Consider the following 22,569-nt stretch of genomic DNA (forward strand, 5'->3'; position numbering starts at 1 on the left):
GGCCAGGCTGGTCTTGAACTCCTGACCTCAAGTGATCTGCCTGCCTCGGCCTCCCAAAGTGCTAGGATTACAGGCATGAGCCACCACGCCTGACCAATTCTGTTGTTTTTGGATGGAGGGTTCTGTAGGTGTCTTATCAGGTCCCTTTCACCCACTGCTGTTTGAATCCTGAATATCTTTGTTAATTTTCTGTCTCGATGATCTAATAATGTCAGTGGGGTGTTAAAGACTCTCACTATTATTTTGTGGGAAACTAAGTCCCTTTGAAGGTCTCTAAGAACTTGCTTTATGAATCTGGGTGCTCCTATGTTGGGTATATATATGTGGCGGTGTGAGCCACCGTGCCCAGCCTTGTGTTTTTTTAAATAATGCTATCCAATTATTTTCAGTAGCAATTGATTTGTGAGGGCATTTTGAACCTTGTAAGACACCAAATAATGACGTGTTTTTATTAGTCTTGTGATACTAGTATCCACCTAGGTCATTAGATATTTAAAATCTGCACTTTATATAGGACCAACGATATTTAAAAAAATAGTGAAGTATCTTTCTTACACTAGTGTTGATGATGTGTATATTTCTTGTTTACCTGAGTATAGGGCTCATAGAGAAATGGTTGTTCTTTGGGAAAGCTTAGGTGAGTTGATTGTTTATTAAGCAAGCTTAAAAATTAGAGCCCTCAGGCTGGGCGAGATGGCTCACGCCTGTAATCCCAGCACTTTGGGAGGTTGAGGCAGGTGGATCACGAGGTCAAGAGATCGAGACAACCCTGGCCAACATGGTGAAACCCTGTCTCTACTAAAAATACAAAAATTAGCTGGGCGTGGTGGCACGCACCTATAGTCCCAGCTACTCGGGAGGCTGAGGTAGGAGAATCACTTGAACCCAGGAGGCAGAGGTTGCAGTAAGCTGAGATTGTGCCACTGCACTCCAGTGTGGCAACAGAGCGAGACCCTGTCTCAAAAAAAAAAAAAAAAAAAAATTAGAGCCCTCAAACAGTTTTCCCCCTCCTCCAGTGAGTGACAAATAGAAAGAGGGAGGATTCCAAGAGATAATATTTAAAAATAGCCTTACATCTTCTTCCCTTCATTCATGGATTAATCCCTGTTAAAAATGCTGCCAGTAAATAGCAAAGAATAACTGTATAGAACCAATCATAGGATATAAAAGGACTTTCTTCTTCCTTTTACTTGCACATACCCAATTTTGCCTCCTGTCCCTTCCTCTAAATTTGAATTTATTTCAGGGTGAGCATTATGATTCAGGATATCAGTGCACCTTTGCTGTATGTATTAAAGGGTGAAAGGCTGGGCATGGTGGCTCATACCTGTAATCCCAGCACTTTGCGGGGGCTGAGGCTGGAGGATTGCCTGAGGCTAGGAGTTTGAGACCAGCCTGGGCAGCATAGCAAGACACTGTCTCTACAAAAAACAATTTTTTTTTTTTTGAGATAGAGTCTTGTTCTGTCGCCCAGGCTGGAGTGCAATGGCACGATCTTGGCCCACTGCAGCCTCTGCCTCCCAGGTTCCAGCGATTCTCCTGCCTCAGCCTCCTGGGTAACTGGGATTACAGGTGCACGCCACCACGCCTGGCTAATTTTTGTATCTTTAGTAGAGACAGGGTTTCTCCATGTTGGCCAGGCTGGTCTCGAGCTCCTAACCTCAGGTGATCCACCCGCCTTGGCCTCCCAAAGTGCTGGGATTACAGGTGTAAGCCACCATGCCCGGCCTTTGTTTTTTTTAATTATCCAAGTATGGCAACGTGGGCCTGTGGTCTCAGCTACTTGGGAGCCTAAGGCAGGAAGATCACCTGAGCCAGGAGACTGAGGATGCAGTAAGCTGTGATGGTGCCATTATGCTGCAGCCTGGACGACAGAGTGAGACTCTGTCTCAAAAAAAACACCAAAAAAAGATGTCACATAATCTTAAAATTTGTATGGAACACAAAAAGGCTCTGAATAGTCAAAGCAATTTTGAGCTAAAAGAATAAAGCCAGAGGCATCATACTGTCTTATTTCAAAATATGCGACAAAACTGAAGTAAAACAGCGTGGATCTGCCATAAAAAGACATAGACAAATTGAATAGACTAGGGAATCCAGAAATAAGTCCACGTAGGTATGGTCAATTGATTTTCGACAAAGATGCCAAGAACACACAGTGGGGAAAGGACAATCAGTGTCTTCAGTAAATGATGTTGGGTAAAGTGGATATCCACATGCAGAAGAATGAAATTAGATCCATGTCTCTCACCATCTTAAAAAATCAACTCTGGCTGGGCACGGTGGCTCACGCCTGTAATCCCAGCACTTTGGGAGCCTGAGGCGGGCAGATCACGAGGTCAAGAGATCAAAACCATCCTGGCCAACATGGTGAAACCCCGTCTCTACTAAAAATACAAAAATTAGCTGGGCGTGGTGGTGTGCACCTGTAGTCCCAGCTACTTGGGAGGCTGAGATAGGAGAATCGCTTGAACCCAGGAGGCGGAGGTTGCAGTGAGCTGAGATCATGCCATTGTACTCCAGCCTGGGCGACAGAGCCAGACTCCATCTCAAAAAAAAAATCAACTCAAAATGGATTTAAAGACTTAAATGTAAGACCTGAAACTGTAAAACTACTAGAAGCAAACACAAGAGAAAGCTTCATGACTTGGTCTGGGCAATGATTTTTTGATTATGACCCCAAAAGCACAGGCAACAAAAAGCAAAAATAGTCAAAGGGGATTACATCAAACTCAAAAGCTTCCGCACAGCAAGGGAAACAACAGAATGAAGAGACAACGTATAGAATGGGAGAAAATATTTGTAAACTATATGTATGATTAGAGGTTAATAGGAAAAGTTATGAGGAACTCAACAGCAAGGAAACAATCCCATTTTAAAATGGGCAAAAGATCTGAATAGACATTTCTCAAAAGAAGACCTATAAATGGCCAACAAGTATATGAAAAAATGTTCAGTATCACTAATCCTCTGGAAAATGCAAATTAAAACCACAATGAGATATTACCTCACACCGTGTTAGAATGGTTTTTATCAGAAAGATGAAAGATTTGTGGGATACCATACTGGTGAAGAAAAAAATGTAAAATTAAAAGAAAAAAAATAACAAGTGTTGGCAAGGATGTGGAGAAAAGGGAACCCTCATGCACTGTTGGTGGAAATGTAAATTTGTATACTACTTTTTTTTTTTTTTTTTTTGAGACACAGTCTCGCTCTGTTGCCAGGCTGGAGTGCAGTGACGCAATCTCGGCTCACTGCAACCTCCGCCTCCCAGGTTCAAGCGATTCTCCTGCCTCAGCTTCCCGAGTAGCTGGGACGACGGGCGCGTGCCACCACGCCCAGCTAATTTTTGTATTTTTAGTAGAGATGGGGTTTCACTGTGTTGGCCAAGATGGTCTTGATCTCTTGACCTCGTGATCGCCTGCCTCGGCCCCCCACCAAGTTTTGGGATTACAGGCGTGAGCCACCGCGCCTGGCCTGTACACTACTGTTCTATGGAAAACAGTATGGAGATTCCTCAAAAAATTGAAAATAGGATTATCATACAATTCAGCAATTCCACTACTGGGTATATATCCAAAGGAAATGAAATCAGTATGTTGAGGTATCTGTACGCTCATGTTCATTGCAGCATTATTCACAAGAGCCAAGATACAGAATCAGTGTTAAGTGTCCATCAGTAGATGAATGGATAAAGAAAATTTGGTATATATACACAACGAAATACTATTCAGCCTTGAAAAAGAAGGGAATCTTGTCATTTGGGACAACATGGATGAACTTAGAGGATATTACATTAAGTGAAGTCAGCCAGGCACAGAAAGACAAATGCTGCATGCTCTTATTTTGTTGTTACAGACAGGGTTTTTTGCTGCTGTGTTGCCCAGGCTGGAGTACGGTGGCTATTCCCAGGTGCAATCATAGCACACTATAGCCTCGAAGTCCCTCCTGGTATCAAGCGATCCTCCTGCCTCAGCCTTCTGAGTTGGTGGGACTACAGGCAGGTGCCACCATGGCTGGCCACATGCTTTTACTTATATATGGAATCTAAAATGTCAAACTCAATCTTACAATTCTCATATACCTATATTAACACCACCAAGGCTGTGGCTACCATTAGCAACAGGAGCATTAAATATCTGTTGGGTAAACTGTAGACCAAGGCTTTTAGTATTACAGAATATAATTCTAATAAAAATTCCAGGCTGGGGCAGGGCATGGTGGTTCATGCCTGTAATCCCAGCACTTTGGGAGGTCGAGGCGGGTGGATCACCTGAGGTCAGGAGTTTGAGACCAGCCTGGCCAACATGGTGATACCCCTATCTCTACTAAAAGTACAAAAAAATTAGCCGGGCGTGGTGGCCCATACCTGTAATCCCACATACTCAGGAGGCTGAGGCAGGAGAATCACTTGAACCCCAGGGGTGGAGGTTGCAGTGAGCCGAGATCACGCCACTGCGCTCCAGCCTGGGCAACAGAAAGAGACTGCATCTCAAAAAATAGAAAAAATTCCAGGCTGGGCGCAGGTGGTTCAAGCCTGTAACACAGCATTTTGCTAGGTGGAGGCAGGCGGATTGCTTGAGCCTAGGAGTTTGAGACCAGCCTGGGCAACATGGTGAAATCCCATCTCTACAAAAAATACGAAAACTAGCTGGGTGTGTTGGTGTGCACCTGTAGTCCCAGCTACTTGGGAGGCTGAGGTGGGAAGATCTCACCTGAGCCCAGGGAGGTTGAGGCTGTAGTGAGCCGTGATTGTGCCACTGCATTCCAGCCTGGGCGACAAGAGTGAGACCCTGTCTAAAAACAGTAAATAAAAATAGGACAGGCTCAGTGGTTCATGCCTGTAATCCCAGCACTTTGGGAGGCCGAGGCAGGCGGATCATGAGGTCAGGAGATGGAGACCATCCTGGCTAACATGGTGAAACCCCGTCTCTACTAAAAATACAAAAAATTAGCCGGGCGTGGTGGTGGGCACCTGTAGTCCCAGCTACTCGGGAGGCTGAGGCAGGATAATGGTGTGAACCCGGAAGGCAGAGGTTGCAGTGAGCTGAGATCAAGCCATTGCACTCCAGCCTGGGCTACAGAGGGAGATTCTGTCTCAAAAAATAAATAAATAAAATAATAATAATAATAATAAAGTAAAACTCATAGAAGCAGAGAATAAAATGGTGGTTACCAGGAGCTGGGTGGGAGTGGAGATTGGGAAGGTGTTGGTCAAAGGATATAAAATTTCTGTTAGACAGAAGGAATAAGCACAAGAAATCTGTTGTACAACATAGTGACCTTAGTAAAAATATATTCTTTTTTTTTTTTTTTTTTTTTTTGAGACAGAGTTTCACTCTTTTTGGCCAGGGTGGAGTGCAATGGCATGATCTTGGCTCACTGCAACCTCTGCCTCCCAGGTTCAAGCGATTCTCCTGCCTCAGCCTCCCAAGTAGCTGGAATTACAGGCATGCACCACCATGCCCAGCTAATTTTTTGTATTTTTAGTAGAGACGGAGTTTCTCCATGTTGGTCAGGCTGATCTCAAACTCCCAACCTCAGGTGATCTGCCTGCCTAAGCCTCCCAAAGTGCTGGGATTAGAGGTGTGAGCCACCACGCCCGGCCACTAAAAATATATTCTGTACCTGCAAATTGCTGAGAGTAGATTTTAAGTGTTCTCACCACAAAGAAACGTAATTATTTTAGGTAATGGATATGTTCATTAGTTTGATTTAGCCATTCCACAGTCTTCACATACAGTAGCGCTCCCCCTTATCCACAGTTTTGCTTTCTGTGGTTTTAGTTACCCAAGATCAGCCATGGTCTGAAGATATGAAAAAGAAATTCCAGCAACAAACAATTCATTAGTTTTAAACAGCATGCCATTCTGAGTAGTGTGATGAAATCTCTCTTGCCGTCCTGCGTATGTCATGAATCATCTCTTTGCTCGGTGTCTCCACACTGAGTCTGCTACATGCCCTTTAGTAGCAGACTTGGTTGTCAAATTAACTCAGGCTATTGCAGGGCTCGTGTTCAAGTAACCCTTATTTTACTTAATAATGGCCCCAAAGTGCAAGAGTAGTGATGCTGGCAATTTGGATATACCAAGGATAAATTCCTTTTTCTTTTTTTTTTTTTTGAGACAGACTCTTGCTCTGTTGCCCAGACTGGAGTTCAGTGGCCCCATCATTGCTCACTGCAACCTCCACCTCCTGAGCTCAAACAATCCTTGCACCTCAGCCTCCAGAGTAGCTGGGATTACAGATGTGCATCACCATGCCTGGCTAATTTTTGTATTTTTTGTAGAGATGAGGTTTTGCCATGTTACCTCGAACTCCTGGGCTCAAGTGATCCACCCACCTCAGCCTCCCAAAGTGCTGGGATTACAGGTGTGAGCCACCACTCCCAGCCAAGAAGCTATTAAGTGTATCCTTTAAGCAAAAAGATGAAAGTTCTAGACTTACTAAGGAAAAAAAAATCTTATGCCAAGATTGCTAAAATCTATAGTAAAAATGATTTTTTTTTTGTTTTTTATGAACCCTGCATATTGTATTTGAAAGAATGAATTTTCTATCTGTGAAATTGTGAAGACGAAAAAAGAAAATTGTGCTAGTTTTGCTGTTGTACTCCACATTGCAGAAGTTACAATCACAGTGCACAGTAAGTTCCTAGTGAAGATGGAAAAGACACTAAATTTGTGGGTGGGAGACATGAACAAAAACGTACTTTGATTGAGTGCAATTGGATTCAGTACTGTCCATTGTTTCAGTTATCCACTGGGGGCTTTGGAATGTATCCCTCAAGGATAAGAGAGGACTACTGTATTTCTGAATGTCATTTTACACACCGTAACTATATATAATTTTTGTCAGTTAAACAAAATATGGCACAATCTCTTTTAAGCTATTGGTGATACCAATAAGATTGGGAATTTTACTAACAATCTTTTACATACTTTACCTTCTTAAATAAAATTAGGTAAGAGATAGGACTTCTGGGACAACATCTTTATATACTTGGGAGAAGGGTTCATCCTTCCACTATGGCAACACTAATTTATTGGTAAATGCAAACCACTATAGTAGGCTCATTCTATTAAATGAATGCACTGCATAATAACACTTCTGTCAATGCTGGACTGCACAAATGATGGTGGTCTTGTAAGGTTAAAATGGAGCTGAAAAATTCCTATTGCCTGGTGATGTAGCCATCATGATGTTATAGCACAATGCATTACTCACGTTTGTGGTAATGCTGGTAGTAAACAAACCTGTGCTGGCAGTCATATAAAACTATAGCACATACAATTATGTATAGTATATAATACTTGATAATAAATGACTATATTACTGGTTTATATATTTACTATACTTTTTAATTGTTAGTGTGTATTCCTTCTACACACACACACACACACATATTTTTATTTTATTTTTATTTTTGAGATGGGGTCTCACTTTGTTGCCCAGGCTGGAGTGCAATGGCACAATTAGGGCTCACTGCAGCCTTGACCTCTCAGGCTCAGGTGATCTTCCCACCTCAGCCTCCCAAGTAGCTGGGACTACAGGCACATGCCACCATACTGGCTAACTTTTTTTTTTTCTTCTTCCCTGTAGAGACAAGGTTTTGCCATGTTGCCCAGACTGGTCTTGAACTCCTGGGCTCAAGCAGTTTGCTCACCTTGGACTCCCAAAGTGCTGTGATTACAGGTGTGAGCCACCTCACCCAGCCTTATTTTTTAAAAAAGTTAACTGTAAAACAGCCTCTGGCAGGTCCTTCAGGAAGTATTCTAGAAGAAGGCACTGTTATCATAGGAGATGACAGCTCCATGCCTGTTAGTACCCCTGAAGACCTTTCAAGAAGTCAAGATGTAGAAGTGGAAGACAGTGATATTCTTGATCCTGTCCCTGTGGAGGCCTAGGCTAATGTGTTGTTAGTGTCTTAGTTTTTAACAAAAAGTTTTAGAAAGTAAAAAAAAAAAAAAAAGAAAGAGGGACGGAGGGAAGGAAAGGAGGGAGGGAGGAAGGAAGAGGGAGGAGAGAGACAGAGCAGAGAGAGAAAGGAAGGAAAGGAAAGGAAGAAAGAAAAAAAGAAAAAAAAGAAAAGAAATCCTCCTGACTTATCATCCTGAATAGCTGGGACAACAGATGTGTCCTACCACACCAAGCTAATTTTTAAAAAATTGTTTTTATGGAGATGGGATCTTGCTATGTTGCCTGGGCTGGTCTCAAGCTCCTGGCCTCAAGTGATCTTCTTGCTTTGACCTACAGAAGCACTAGGATTACAGGTGTGAGCCACCTCTCCTGGCCATCTTTTCTTTTTTTTTTTTTTGGAGATGGAGTTTTGCTCTTGTTGCCCAGGCTGGAGTGCAGTGGCACGATCTCGGCTCACCACAACCTCTGGCTCCCAGGTTCAAGTGATTCTCCTGGCTCAGCCTCCCGAGTAGCTGGGATTACAGGCATGTGCCACCACGCCTGGCTAATTTTGTATTTTTAGTGGAGATGGGGTTTCTCCATGTTGGTCAGGCTGGTCTCAAACTGCCGACCTCAGGTGTTCCACCTGCCTCAGCCTCCCAAATTGCTGGGATTACTGGGGTGAGCCACCATGCCTGGACCTGGCCATCCTTTTTTTCTTTTTTTTTTTTTTTCTGAGATGAAGTCTTGTTCTTGTTGACCAGGCTGGAGTACAGTGGCACGGTCTCAGCTCACTGCAATCTCTGCCTTCCGGGTTCAAGCGATTCTCCTGCCTCAGTCTCCTGAGTAGCTGGGATTACAGGCGCCCACCACCACCCTGGCTAATTTTTGTACTTTTAGTAGAGATGGGGTTTCGCCATGTTGGCCAGGCTGGTCTCAAACTCCAGACCTCAGGTGATCTGCCTGCCTTGGCCTCCTAAAGTGCTGGGATACAGCCATGAGCCACCAGGCCCGGCTGGCCATCTTTTAAAAGTATGTTTTGTCTTTGAGGTTTCCTCAAAATGTGATACATAACGATGCCAGAAATATATACGGCTTCATTTTTGTGGGTGTTGATTTTGTCATGATCAGTGATGATGATGAATTGCCCTTCCTGTGCTCTGTAAGCATGTTTTCTGAAATTAATGTCCTTTATAACTCACTAGTGTTATTTTCTGGGATAATTTGGATTAGCACGCAATGCTTTTGCTTATCAATAAGCCACACCTCTGTTTTAAAGAGCTGATTCATGCTTCTTAGTGGTAACAGAAGTACTATGTTTAACAAAGAGGAGGAGGTCAGTTTTTCTTCAAAGAAGAAAGTTTCATTTTTATGTCTTTACTCCTCAGTAATATGTTACATATTGAATATTTGTGCTTAAAAACAAACTTTTCTTAAGCATAACTTTTTTTTTTTTTTTTTTTGAGTCAGAGTCTCACTCTGTCGCCCAGGCTGGAGTGCAATGGCACCATCTTGGCTCACTGCAAGCTCCACCTTCCAGGTTCATGCTATTCTGCCTCAACCTCCCGAGTAGCTGGGACTACAGGCACCTGCCAGCTACTGTTACAATTACACGCCTGGCTAATTTTTTTTTTTTTTTTTTTTTTTTAGTAGAGACGGGGTTTCACCGTGTTAGCCAGGATGGTCTCGATCTCCTGACCTCGTGATCCGCCCGCCTCGTCGGCCTCCCAAAGTGCTGGGATTACAGGCGTGAGCCACCACGCCCGGCCAACTTTTTTTTTTTTGAACAGGCTTTTCCATTTGTAAAACTCAGTCCTTACTAAGAACATGATTGTAAGTCTCTATATAATGTTTCATTTTCTTTGTGATAGGCAAAAACAAATTAAGTTCTTTATTAACTGCTTTTATTTGTAGCTACTAAATTTCTCTGCTAAGTGTAACAAAAATAGTTTAGAAATAGCAAAGAAAGTTATTTTAGGGAAATGTAGAGGTTTTCTACACTTCCAGATTTCCAGGGAAAAGGGTAAATTGGTGACAGATAATAAAGATGCATGTAGCCAGGCACGGTGGCTCATGCCTGTAATCCGAGCACTTTGGGAGGTCGAGGCAGGCGGATCATTTGAGGTCAGGAGTTCAAGACCAGCCTGGCCAACATGGTGAAATCTCGTCTCTACAAAAATACAAAAATTAGCTGGGCGTGGTGGTATGCACCTTTAATCCCAGCTACTCGGGAGGCTGAGTCGGAAGAATCACTTGAACCTGGGAGGCGGAGGTTGCAGTGAGCTGAGATCGCACCATTGCACTCCAGCCTGAGTGACAAAGCGAAACTCTGTCTCAAAAAAAAAAGAAGATAATAAAGATGCGTGTAGATTACAGTATTTACTCCTTATATTAATGTAGTAGCATCTGAAGGTCACTCTAGAAGAATAGATACCTTATTACTTTCTTAATTTTCTCTAGTGATGTGCTTTTTTTTTTTTTGAGACGGTGTTTTGTTCTTGTCTCCCAGGCTGGAGTGCAATGGCGCAATCTCGGCTCACTGCAACCTCTGCCTCCTGGGTTCAAGCGATTCTCCTGCCTCAGCCTCCTGAGTAGCTGAGATTACAGGCTTACACCACCACGCCCGGCTAATTTCTTTCTTTCTTTCTTTCTTTTTTTTTTTTTTTTTTTGTATTTTTAGTAGAGACGGGGTTTCACCGTGTTGGCCAGGCTGGTCTCAAATTCCTGACATCGGGTGATCTACCCGCCTCGGCCTCCTAAAGTGCTGGGATTGCAGGTGTGAGCCACCGTGCCTGGCCGTGATATGCTTTTAAATCAAGTCCAAGAAAATGTGGAAATAACACTTTAGTTGTTCAGTCTGCCAATGTAAATTTAGGTTTCATTATCTTGATGGTGTTTTTAGACATTGTGTATTTTGATCAGGCTTTGAATCATGATAGAATTAAAAACTGCTTTTTTTGTTTTAGAACTGAAATGGAGGAGTGAGGTGAGCTTTAAGACTGCCAACTATATGCCAGGCACAGCCCATTTCTTCCTGTTTTATTTTATAATAAATGCTATTTCATGAGATTCTCATTAAAGATGAGTATTATTAATCCCACTTGAATCCCCAAAGACAAGAAGGTTAAATTATTCTGCAATATTATCTTTTGTAACCAAAATCATTAACCAGTTTGTATATGATTGATATTTGAAACTAACTTGTGCTAATTTGTCCAATGAAAGATAATGCAAGTTCTCTTAACCAGTAAACTTTTGTTCTTTTGATTTTTGCCTGGCTTGTTAAGCTTTCTCAGGAGGGAGAAGGTTATTTTGAATAACACGGGTCTAGCGTTACAGCAATTACCCAGAAAGGAATAGAAAAGGCAGAAAATAATTTCATTCTTGACGGTTTCCATCTGAGTAGATTAATTTATATTTGTATGTACAATCTGAGGCTATCTTGGACATTCAAAATGAAACAAGGAATGAAGCTATTATTAGGGTAATTGAGAAAAAAATAATTTTTGCTTTTTTTTTTTTTTTTGAGTCTTTCTCTGTCGCCAGGCTGGCGTGCAGTGGCGCAGTCTCGGCTCACTGCAACCTCCACCTCCTGGGTTCAAGCGATTCCTCTGCCTCAGCCTCCCGAGTAGCTGGGACTACAGGTGCGTGCCACCATGCCCTGCTAATTTTTTGTTGTTGTTGTTGTTTTTGTATTTTTAGTAGAAACGGGTTTTCACCATTTGGGCCAGGATGGTCTTGATCTCCTGACCTCATGATCCGCCCGCCTCGGCCTCCCAAAGTGCTGGGATTACAGGCATGAGCCACCGCCGCTGGCCTAATTTTTGCTTTTAATATCAAGTTTCTAGCCTGCAGTACATGCTTCTGTGTTTCTTTCACTGAACTGACCTAGCCACAGTTACCAAGTTGAGGAATTGATACATTCGAAGAGTTCTGTTAAAGGTGGGAAGAGGATAATATATTTTAGAATTCTCATATACCTATGTTAACACCACCAAGGCTGTGGCTGCCATTAGCAACAGCAGCATTAAATATCTGTTGGGTGGCTGGCCGGGGTGGCTCACGCCTGTAATCCTGGAACTTTGGGAGGCCAAGGTGGGCAGATCATGAGGTCAGGAGTTTGAGACCAGCCTGGCCAGCATGGTGAAACCCCGTCTCTACTAAAAATACAAAAAATTAGCCAGGCATAGTGGCATGTGTCTGTAGTCCCAGCTACTCAGGAGGCTGAGGCAGGAGAATCACTTGAACCCCACAGGCGGAGGGTTGCAGTGAGCCGAGATCATGCCACCGCACTCCAGCCTGGGCAACAGAGTAGACAGACCCTGTCTCAAAAAATAAAATAGGCCGAGCACGGTGGCTCATGCCTGTAATCCCAGCACTTTGGGAGGCTAAGGCAGGCGGATCGCTTGAGGTCAAGAGTTCGAGACCAGCCTGGTGAACATGGTGAAACCCTGTCTCTACCAAAAACACAAAAATTAGCCGGGCGTGGGGGCACATGCCTATAATCCCAGCTACTTGGGAGGCTGAGGCAGGAGAATTGCTTGAACCTGGGAGCTGGAGGTTGCAGTGAGCCAAGATCGCGCTACTGCACTCCAGCCTGGGTGACAGAGCAAGACTCTGTCTCAAAAAAGAAAAAAAAATTTAATTAATTAAATACTGATATTCAAAAAGAAGCACTTTTGAGGCAATAGTTTTATCAGATCTCAAATATGTATGTTTTGTATCCATCCTACTGGTTCTGTTTCTGAGAAGAACCCTAATACAGAAGGTATTCCGGAAGACACGTTAGCCAAGCTTGAGATTTAAAGGAATTAGCTGTGTAAAGAGGTAGGAAAGGCTGGGTGCGGTGGCTCACATCTGTAATCTCTGCACTTTGGGAGGCCGAGGCGGGTGGATCACCAGAGGTCAGGAGTTCAAGACCAGCCTGGCCAACATGGTGGAACCCCATCTCTACTAAAAATACAAAAATTAGCTGGGTGTGGTGGCACATGCCGGTAATCTCAGCTACTGGGGAGGCTGAGGCAGGAGAATCGCTTGAATCCAGGAGGCGGGGGTTATAGTAAGCCAAGGTCATGCCACTGCACTCCAGCCTGGGCGACAGAGCAAGACTCTGTCTCAAAAAATATATATATGATGAATAATTTTGTGTTGATGAAATTTCTGCTGTGTATAAATATTTTTTGAGTTTAGTATGTCTCTACTGTTAAGTGATATGGCATGATTTATTTCTTTTACCACTTTTCGGTATTCACATTGCCAGGAAACTTGTTCCTTTGAAGTTATTTGGTTTTCTCATGGCTCACATACGTCATGGATACTTACCTAATTCCATTTCTATTAATTTCTTGTTGGTCTCGGACTATGTAGTACTGTTTGGTGCTAGTGTTCATTTATTTATTCAGTAAGTATTTTCTTAGTACCTAGTGTATGCACCTTCTAAATGCAGGGATATAGTAGTGAACAGAACAGATAAAGTATCTAATGATACTTTCTAGATTGGGAGAGACACAATAAGAACTTAGGTAAGCATATCTATAGATAAATTACAGATAGTATACCATCAGATAGTGATACATTAAAATAAAAATAAAACAGGGTAAATGGATAGAATGTTTTGAAAAGGGGGTGCCAAGGAAAGGCCTCTCTGAGGGAGTCACACTTGAGTGACCTGAAATAATGGAGCAAATCACGCAGTTTCTGGGAAAAGAGCATTCCAGGCTGACTGAATAACAACTGCAAACCCTAGGGTAAGAATGTGCTTGTTATGTTACAGAAACAATAGTAAGCTCAGTATGGGTAAAACAGAGTGAGCAAGAGAAGTAGGAAATGTGGTCAGTGGAGCAGACAGGGACCAGGACATGTAGGATCTTATAGGCCGTGGTAAGAAATTTGCAGTTGTCAAGCACAATGGCTCATGCCTGTAATCCCAGCACTTTGGGAGGCCAAGGTGGGCAGATCACTTGAGGTCAGGAGTTCAAGACCAGCCTGGCCAACATGGTGAAACCCCATCTCTTCTAAAAATACAAAAATTAGCCGGGCGTCTTGGCGCACGCCTGTAATCCCAGCTACTTGGGAGGTTGAGGCAGGAGAATCGCTTGAACCTGGGAGTCGGAGGTTGCAGTGAGCCAAGATCGTGCCACTGCACTCCAGCCTGGGTGACAGAGCAAGACTCCATCTCAATTAAAAAAAAAAAAAAAAAGAGAAATCTGGAGTTAATTTCAGATGTAATAATGTAGCCGGCTTAAGTCTGGCTGCTTGCCACTCAGAGGCCAAAAAAAAGAGAAGCCAGGTGCGGTTTAAGGAAAGCAGTTTTATTAATCAAATGCTAGGAGCTGGGGAATGGCCAGGCTCATGCCTTCAAAAGACCATTCCAGTTTTTTGGGCTGAGTGAAGGATTTTTTTTGAGATGGAGTCTCACTCTGTCACCCAGGCTGGAGTGCAGTGGCGCAATCTCAGCTTAGTGCAACCTCTGCCTCCCAGATTGAAGCGATTCTCCTGCCTCAACCTCCAGAGTAGCCAGGACTACAGGCGCGCGCCACCACGCCCTGCTAATTTTTGTAGTTTTAGTAGAGACGGGGTTTCCCTATGTTGGCCAGGCTGGTCTCGAACTCCTGACCTCAGGTGATCTGCCTGCCTCGGCCTCCCACAGTGCTGGGATTACAGGCATGAGCCACCACGCCCGGCCTGAGTGAAGGGTTTTAAGAAGGCAAAGATATGGGAAATATGTGATAGTGGTGCAGGAGGGGATAGGCCTTCAAATCTTGTTCCCATGGCTGTCTTGAGTAATCACCTGTCTGGAGTTCTGGTTTTTTCATCCTGATTTCTGCCTAATAGTGGTGAGCCAACTGTTCAGAACTCCCCTTAGGTGGGAGGATTCTGCAACTGGCTCTCTCTGCCTGATTTGTTTCAAAATTGGCCCCTGGAATTTGTAAGCAAGCACATAATTAGATAAGTGAGCATTGTTCATGGAAGTACCTGGTAGGAAAGGGAAACAAAGAGTTTCAAAGTATGTTTCAAGGCTGAAAGCAAGAAAGGAAAAAAAAGTTTTAAAACGCATTTTGAGGCTGAGATACTTGGCTACAACAGGGATATATGACCTGCTTTACTTTTTTTTTTTTTTTTTTTTGGGGGGGATGGAGTCTCGCTCTGTCACCCAGGCTGGAGTGCAGTGGCACGATCTTGGCTCACTGCAACCTCCACCTCCCGAGTTCAAGCCATTTTCCTGCCTCAGCCTCCCACGTAGCTGGGATTACAGGCGCCCGCCACCATGCCCGGCTAATTTTTATATTTTTAGTAGAGACGAGGTTTCACCATGTTGGCCAGGCTGGTTTTGAACTCCTGACCTCAGGCGATCTGCCCGCCTTGGCCTCCCAAAATGCTAGGAGTACAGGCATGAGCCACCATGCCCTTTTTTTTGTTGTTGTTAATAGAGGCAGGGTCTGGCTCTGTTGCCCATGCTGGAGTGCCGTGGTGCAGTCATAGCTCACTGTAACCTCAAATTTCTGGGCTCAAGCTGTCTTCCTGCCTCAGAGTAGCTAGGACTACAGGCACGCACCACCACGCTCATCTAATTTTTAAATTTTTTTAGAGACAGGGATTTTACTATGTTGCCCAAGCTGGCCTTGAATTCCTGGCCTCAAGTGATCCTACCACTTCAGTATCTGAAAGTACTGCGATTATAGCCATCAGCCACTGCATCCAGCTCTGCTTTACTTTTTGAAAGGATCACCCAGGCCAGTCTGAGGATAACAGAATATAAGAGTCTGAGAAGAAGGGAGGTTAATTAGGGGTTGATTGTACTAGTCTAGCAAGAGATGGTGATAGCTTAGACTAGAGTGAGAAGTGGTTAAATTATGGATATCTTTTGGAGGTGGAGGCAATAAGACTTGGTAATGATTTAATTGTAGCTGTGAGAGAAAGAGAAGAGTCAAGGATGACACCTTGTTGAACAACTAGAAAACTTAAGCTGCCATTTTACTGAAATGATACAAAATAGCAGCTAACACAGATGCCAGCTCTTTTTCTAAGTGCTTTACATCTGTTGCCCTACTCATGAATAGGGAATACCTGGGGGGGAAAAAATTGGGAGTGGGAAATCAAGAGTTTGTTCTTTAAAACATAGTAAGTTTATGAAACTTCCTAGATTTCCAAATAGAGTATTGAGTATGCTGTAGATATATCAGTCTGTTGAAGTTCAGGGGAGATGTTCAGCCTGGAAATAAGAATTTGTTTGTATCATCAGTGTATATAGGGGGTATTAAAAATGGTAGAACTAGGCTAGGCATGTTGGCCTATGTCTGTAATCCCAACACTTTGGGAGGCCAAGATGGGAGGATCACTTGAGGTAAGGAGTTTGAGACCAGCCTAGATAACATAGTGAGACCCCGTCTCTACAAAAATTTTTAAAAATTTAGGCCGGGCACCTAATTTGGTGCTTACTAGGTGCTGTGGCTCACCATATAGGTTTGAGCATCATCTGTTTATGGGTGGTTACAGAGGCCATAGGAATATTTCTGTCTTGCACAGGTGTCCAGTTAGTGGAAACACAAAGTAGGCTTCTCCTCTGCAAAAACTACACAGGATTTTTCTAGCAAGACATGCTTCTGTTTGTGATTCTGTAAGAACAGGGGTATTTTGTTAATGGAAACTTTCCATCACAAACCAGGATCATCCCCTAGGATTGATATTATAACAACATCAATCAAAAGAAGTAAATGATTTCTGTGGCTTTGGAAGAGTTCAGTATAATCTAATAGAGAAATTAAAGGTCTATAAGAGTCCCTTGGAACATGTGAAAGGACCATGTGGTATTGAAAATTGCGATCTGTGATTTCGATAGCTTAATATTAGAATTGGAAGGTATCAGATGGCTGGCAAACTGTCAGTAAAGTCCTATTCTTAAAGGAGTACTGTCCTAGGTTGGGTTATCTTTGAGGCAGACTCTGATAGTATAGCCTGAAGAATGCTTATTAGGAAGTGCCCTTGGGATCAACACCCGTAGAAGGGAGGGGACAGGAGCAGCAGTATTTGGCCATAGGGAGAAGTCAAGTGGCAATAGAGATCCAACAGGAGCCTTAGTGGACCCCACGGGGGCTCTGGAGCTAAAATGACCTTTTAGAGTTGTCTTATATGTGCTGTAACGGCTGGGCTTACACCCTGGTCTTGATTGGATGTGGACCCCTGAGAAGGTTGTGACCTTCCTTGAGTCAACTCTTCATATCTGAGGCACTCCCTGAAAGGATTGACAGTTGTAGGCTGTCTCCCAACAGCAGTCCTGTCATTCCTTAATGGAGGATCCAGCCAGTGCAACAGCATGCTACCACAGTATACCCTTGTGTTGCTCAGATCTACTACTTAAAAAACAAAAAAACAGTATTTTTGAGATATAATTCATTATTGTAAAATTTATAATTACAGTTTATAGTATACAACTCAATGGCTTTTAATATATTTGCAAGTTGTGTAACCATCACTCTAACCAATTTTAGAACATTTTAATTACCCCCCAAAAAACTCTGTTCCCCTTAGCTGTCACTCTGTAATCTCCTCCCCACCCACCCCCAACATAGGCCACCGCAAACTTTCTGTCTCTATAGACTTACCTATTATGGACATTTCATGTAAGTGGAATAATACGCTGCATGGTCCTTTGTGATTAGCCTTTCATTTAGTGTGTTTTAAACGTTTATCCATGTTACAACACGTATCAATACTTAATTTCTTTTTATGCTGAATGTCCCGTTGTATTAATTTTGTTTATCCAGTGATCAGTGGAAAGACACTGGGTGGTTTTCACTTTTTAGCTATTATGAATAATGCTGCTATGAACATTTGTATACAAGTTTTTCGTTTGTTTGTTTTGGGGGACGTTTGTTTTTGTAGTTAGCTGGGACTATAGGCACGTGCCACCATGCTCAAGTAATTTTTGTATTTTTTGTAGAGACGGGGTTTCACCATGTTGGCTAGGCTTGTCTCAAACTTCTGACCTCAAGTGATCTGCCTGCCTTGTCCTCCCAAAGTGCTGGGATTACAGGCATGAGCCACTGCACCTGGCCTGTGTACAAGATTTTGTATGAACATCCTTTTTTTTTTTTTTTTTTTTTTTTGAGACGGAGTTTTGCTCTGTAACCCAGACTGGAGTGCAGTGGCGCGATCTCAGCTCACTGCAACCTCCGCCTCCTGGGTTCAAGCGATTCTCCTGCCTCAGCCTCCTGAGTACCTGGGACTACAGGCACCTGCCACCACGCCCAGCTAATTTTTGTATTTTTAGTAGAGACAGGGTTTCACCATATTGACCAGGCTGGTCTCGAACTCCTGACCTCAGGTGATCTGCCCGCCTCAGCCTCCCAAAGTGCTGGGATTACAGGCGTGAGCCACCGCACCTGGCCTTGACATATGTTTTTATTTCTCTTGGATATATACCTAGGAGTGGGTCATATGGTAAACTCTATGTTTAACTGTTTGGGGAACTGTTACTCTTCCAAATCGGCTACATCATTTTACATTCTCACCAGCAGTTTATTGAGGCCCCAGTTTCTCTGCATCTTTCCTAATACTTGTTATGTATTTATTTAACTTTTATTTTACGTTCAGGTTACACGTACACTTGCAGGTTTGTTATATAGGTAAACTGTGTGTTACGGGGGTTTGGTGTACAGATAATTTAGTCACCCCGGTAATAACCATAACACCTGATAGGTATTTTTTCTGATCCTCTCATCCTTCACCCTCAAGCAGGCCCCAGTGTCTGTTGTTCCCCTCCTAGTATCCATGTGTTCTCGGTTTAGCTCCCAACACTTGTTATTACCTCTTTTATTTATTATAGCCATCATAATGGGTGTAAAGTGTTATCTCATTGTGACATTGATTTGCATTTCCTGTAGGGCTAAAAATGAGATGTTGAAGATCTTTTCATGTGCCTATTGACTGTATATCTTCTCTTAGGAAATGTTTATATACATCCTTTGCCCATTTTTAAATTGGGTTGTCTTTTTGTTATTGAGTTATTGTTCTTTATGTATTCTAGATATAGGTTCCTTATCAGATAGATGATTTGCAAAAATTTTCTCCCATTCTGTGGGTTGCCTTATCACTTTTTTGATGGTGTCCTTTGAAGCACAAAACTTTAAATTTTTTTCTTTTTCTTTTTTGAGACCGAATCTTACTCTGTTGCCCAGGCTAGAGTTCAGTGGCATGTTCTCAGCTCACTGCAACCTCCGACTCCCAGGTTCAAGCAATTCTCATGCCTCAGCCTCCTGAGTAGCTGGGACTACAGGTACAGGCCACCATGCCCAGCTAATTTTGGTATTTTTGGTAGAGACAGGGTTTCACCATGTTGTCCAGGCTGGTCTCAAACTCCTGACCTCAGGTGATCCACCCATCTCGACCTCCCAAAGTGCTGGGATTACAGGTGTGAACCACCACGCCTGGCCCCAAGTATGTGTATTTCAATTTCACATTCAGTGACCAGGGAATGACCACCAGTTAGGAGTTCGAGACCAGCCTGGCCAACATGGTGAAACTCTGTCTCTACTAAAAATACAAAAATTAGCTGGGCATGGTGGCAGGTGCCTGTAATCCCAGCTACTCAGGAGGCTGAGGCAGGAGAATCACTTGAACCCAGGAGGCAGAGGTTGCAGTGTGCTGAGATTGCACCATTGCACTCCAGCCTGGACAACAGAGCGAAACTCCATCTTAAAAAAAAAAGGAATAGGAAAAGAAAAAAATAATCTCACTAGCACAGAACCCAGATTTCTATCTATCTTAGTAAACAATCAAAAGCATATTTCACTTTATGCCTCAATTGACTGCTGGCCAACCATAACTTCTATAGCAGCTCTCACTTTGATACTCTCTAGTAAATTTAAGTTATATTTAAGGTTAATTTGAGTTTAATTTAATTGTTTAATAATAAATTTGACTGATAAGATTGTATTAAAATTTAGGTTATGTTTACTTAAGTGAAGCAAGGAGGTCACTCAGAATGAAAACTTTACATTTCCAGTACAAACCTATGGAGTTGTCATGTATTATTCTAGTTTATCATATGGTCATGTTCTTTAGAATTTGTCACCAGGCTACTATAATAAAACTCAATTTACCAAATTCTTCAAGATTTAACTTGGTAATGAAGCTACAAAATTTATGAATAAGTACAGACTGCCCTTTTTGAACAGACTGTTCAAACTAAGGATGGATCTAATTGATGAACTAGGTAAAAACTACTCTTGAGGGGGAAAAAAAAAGCCAAGGTCCTAAAGAAATCATCTAAGGTTGTTAAAAGCAGAAAAATTCTGATCTTACAAGGTAATAAACAGCAGTCTTCTCAAAAGCTCTTAATCTGAGCCAGATGATTGCTAGTACGAGTAGCCCATGAGCCACTGCGCCCGGCCCTACAACTGCATCTTACTCCCAAGTTTCTCCAGTCATTCCTGTCAGTAGGTTGTGACTTATAAAAAGCAGGCTCTGAATTGGAGTTTAGTATTTAGACTGTTAGGGAATGACCTTAGGATAAAAACCACAGGAGGAGTAGGAAGCTGGGTAGGGCAGATTTGACACTTGCCTTGATTGGGGGTGCAGGAGGTTGTATATTATACTTAGTCAACTTTCTTTTGAAACGTTTTTTGTTTTATTTTCATACTTGAGTGGATAAACTTACAGCTTACTGAACCATCCTCCTGTGTCTAAAATAACTTCCATTTTCCTTAGGCAAAACCAATTCCCTTCTTCAAAGATGTTCCTCATGCCCTTTCTCAGGTGTTGTATTTTTCTTACAAAAAAACTTGCCTTTTTCCCTATACTCTAGTAAATTCAAAATGAGGATTGGAAAGGGAGCTTATTTGAGGAAACTGACAATAATATATTTTAAGACAAAAATTAGCCTTAAATGTTTTATGATAATCTAGTATTGTACATCTGTATCTCAATTCCCCTAAAATAACTCCCAGCCTGGCACAGTCTCAGGCTGTTGTAATCCTCAAGAGGCTGACATGGGAGGCTCACTTGAGCCCAAGAATTAAAATCTAGTCTGGGCAACATAAGGAGATCCTGTCTCAAAAAAAAAAAAAAAACTATCATTTAATAAGTTGTACATTTCTATAATGTTCCACTTTTAAACTATAGTCAATGTTACTGAATTAGGATTATTTTTTTAAAAGCATAAAAGGTGATGGACTATATGTATTAAGTGTATCATTTACCTTTTTCTCTTTTTAGAAACAGTATCTCACCTCCCTAAACTGGTTAATAGTGGCATGGAAGATCCATTTGGTGAGTATCACCTACATTGTTCTTAGTAAATGACATTTCTGTTTTATCCTCACCTCCATTAAAGCTTTGAGAGTAAATTGGTTTTTTTTCATATTCAGTATGCTACTCTCTAGAATAATGGGTCTCAAACTTTTTGCTTCTATAAGAATTCAGTTATATATTTAATGATAGAGTGCCAATTACCTTTTGTTTATGTGACATATCTATTGATGTTTGCTGTATTACAAATTAAACCTGAGAAACTTTAAAAATATTAATTTGTTTAAAAACAACATTGATAAACCCATTATATATTACACAAATAACATTTTTAATTAAAAAAATCAAGAACCATTTGACAAGATAAAATGAGAAATTTAAATTTCTCTATCTTAGCCAGGAGTGGTGGCTCACGCCTATAATCCTAGCACTTTGGGAAGCTGAGGCAGGCAGATCACTTGAGGCTAGGAGTTCGAGACCAGCCTGGCCAACATGACAAAACCCCGTCTCTACTAAAAATACAAAAATTTAGCTGGGCATGGTGGCACACACCTGTAATCCCAGCTACTCTGGAGGCTGAAGCATGAGAAACGCTTGAACCCAGGAAGCAGAGGTTGCAGTGAGCTGAGATCGCGCCACTGCGCTCCATCCTGGGCAACAGAGCAAGACTCTGTCTCAAAAAAAGAAAAATAAGTAAATAAACTCTGTCTTAATCACTCAGTAACTTATGTATACTTCTCTTTGGTTGGAAATGTAGTTCTGCTCATATTTCAGAAACAATGTGTGCTTTGTAGTGCTTCATTAGTACTTGGCCAATGGAAGATAACATGAAAGTGACTGGGCGCAGTGGCTCATGCCTGTAATCCCAGCACTTTGGGAGGCTGAGATGGGCAGATCACTTGAGGTCAGGAGTTTGAGACCAGCCTGGCTGACATGGTGAAACCCCATCTACTAAAAATACAAAAATTAGCTGGGCATGGTAGTGGGTGCCTGTAATCTCAGCTACTCAGGAGGTTGAGGCAGGAGAAACACTTGAGGCCTGGAAGGCGGAGGTTGCAGTAAGCCGGGATCATGCCACTGCACTCCAGCCTCGGCAACACAGGGAGACTCTGTCTTAAAAGAAAAGAAAAGAGAAAGATAACGTGGAAGTAATCATAATAGCAGGCATGTGTAATATATATGTACGTGTGTGTGTCTATATATGTGTGTGTGTGTATATATATATATATTTTTTTTTAATTTATTTTTTTTGAGATAGTGTCTCACTCTGTCGCCCAGGCTGGAGTGCAGTGGCACCATCACAGCTCACTGCAGCCTTGACCTCCCGGGCTCAGGCAATCCTTTCAACTCAGCCTCCTGAGTAGCTGGGACTATAGGTGTGCACCCCTATGCCCGACTGATTTTTTTTTTTTTTTTTGGTAGAGA

At 42.4% G+C, this 22,569-nt stretch overlaps 1 protein-coding gene across 5 annotated transcripts in view, besides 1 other annotated feature; it reads left to right on the forward strand.

The window, feature by feature from the left end:
- The window catches only part of PHACTR4 (phosphatase and actin regulator 4), a 130,625-nt gene that overhangs the window by 16,559 nt on the left and 91,497 nt on the right, over positions 1-22,569 (forward strand). For 3 of the 5 annotated variants that reach the window (NM_001350161.2, NM_001350158.2, NM_001048183.3), the window contains exon 2: positions 21,112-21,165. Coding sequence is in view for 4 of the 5 variants with exons in the window: in NM_001350158.2 (NP_001337087.1) it covers positions 21,150-21,165 (16 nt within the window). In the remaining variant the exon portion in view is untranslated. Of the gene's footprint in view, positions 1-6,543; positions 6,644-21,111; positions 21,166-22,569 lie in introns of all 5 variants that reach the window. The other 2 variants (NM_001350159.2, NM_001350160.2) reach the window with 1 other exon arrangement.
- Positions 13,856-14,073: a silencer, noted in NCBI's record as "fragment chr1:28726665-28726882 (GRCh37/hg19 assembly coordinates)". NCBI's record gives its function as "represses an EF-1alpha promoter that drives an FKBP-Casp9 reporter gene in an ReSE screen in K562 erythroleukemia cells {active_cell/tissue: K562}" and the evidence as "EXISTENCE:reporter gene assay evidence [ECO:0000049][PMID:32094911]".

The sequence above is a fragment of the Homo sapiens genome, chromosome 1 (genome assembly GCF_000001405.40).
Source record: "Homo sapiens chromosome 1, GRCh38.p14 Primary Assembly".
Lineage (NCBI taxonomy): Eukaryota > Metazoa > Chordata > Mammalia > Primates > Hominidae > Homo > Homo sapiens.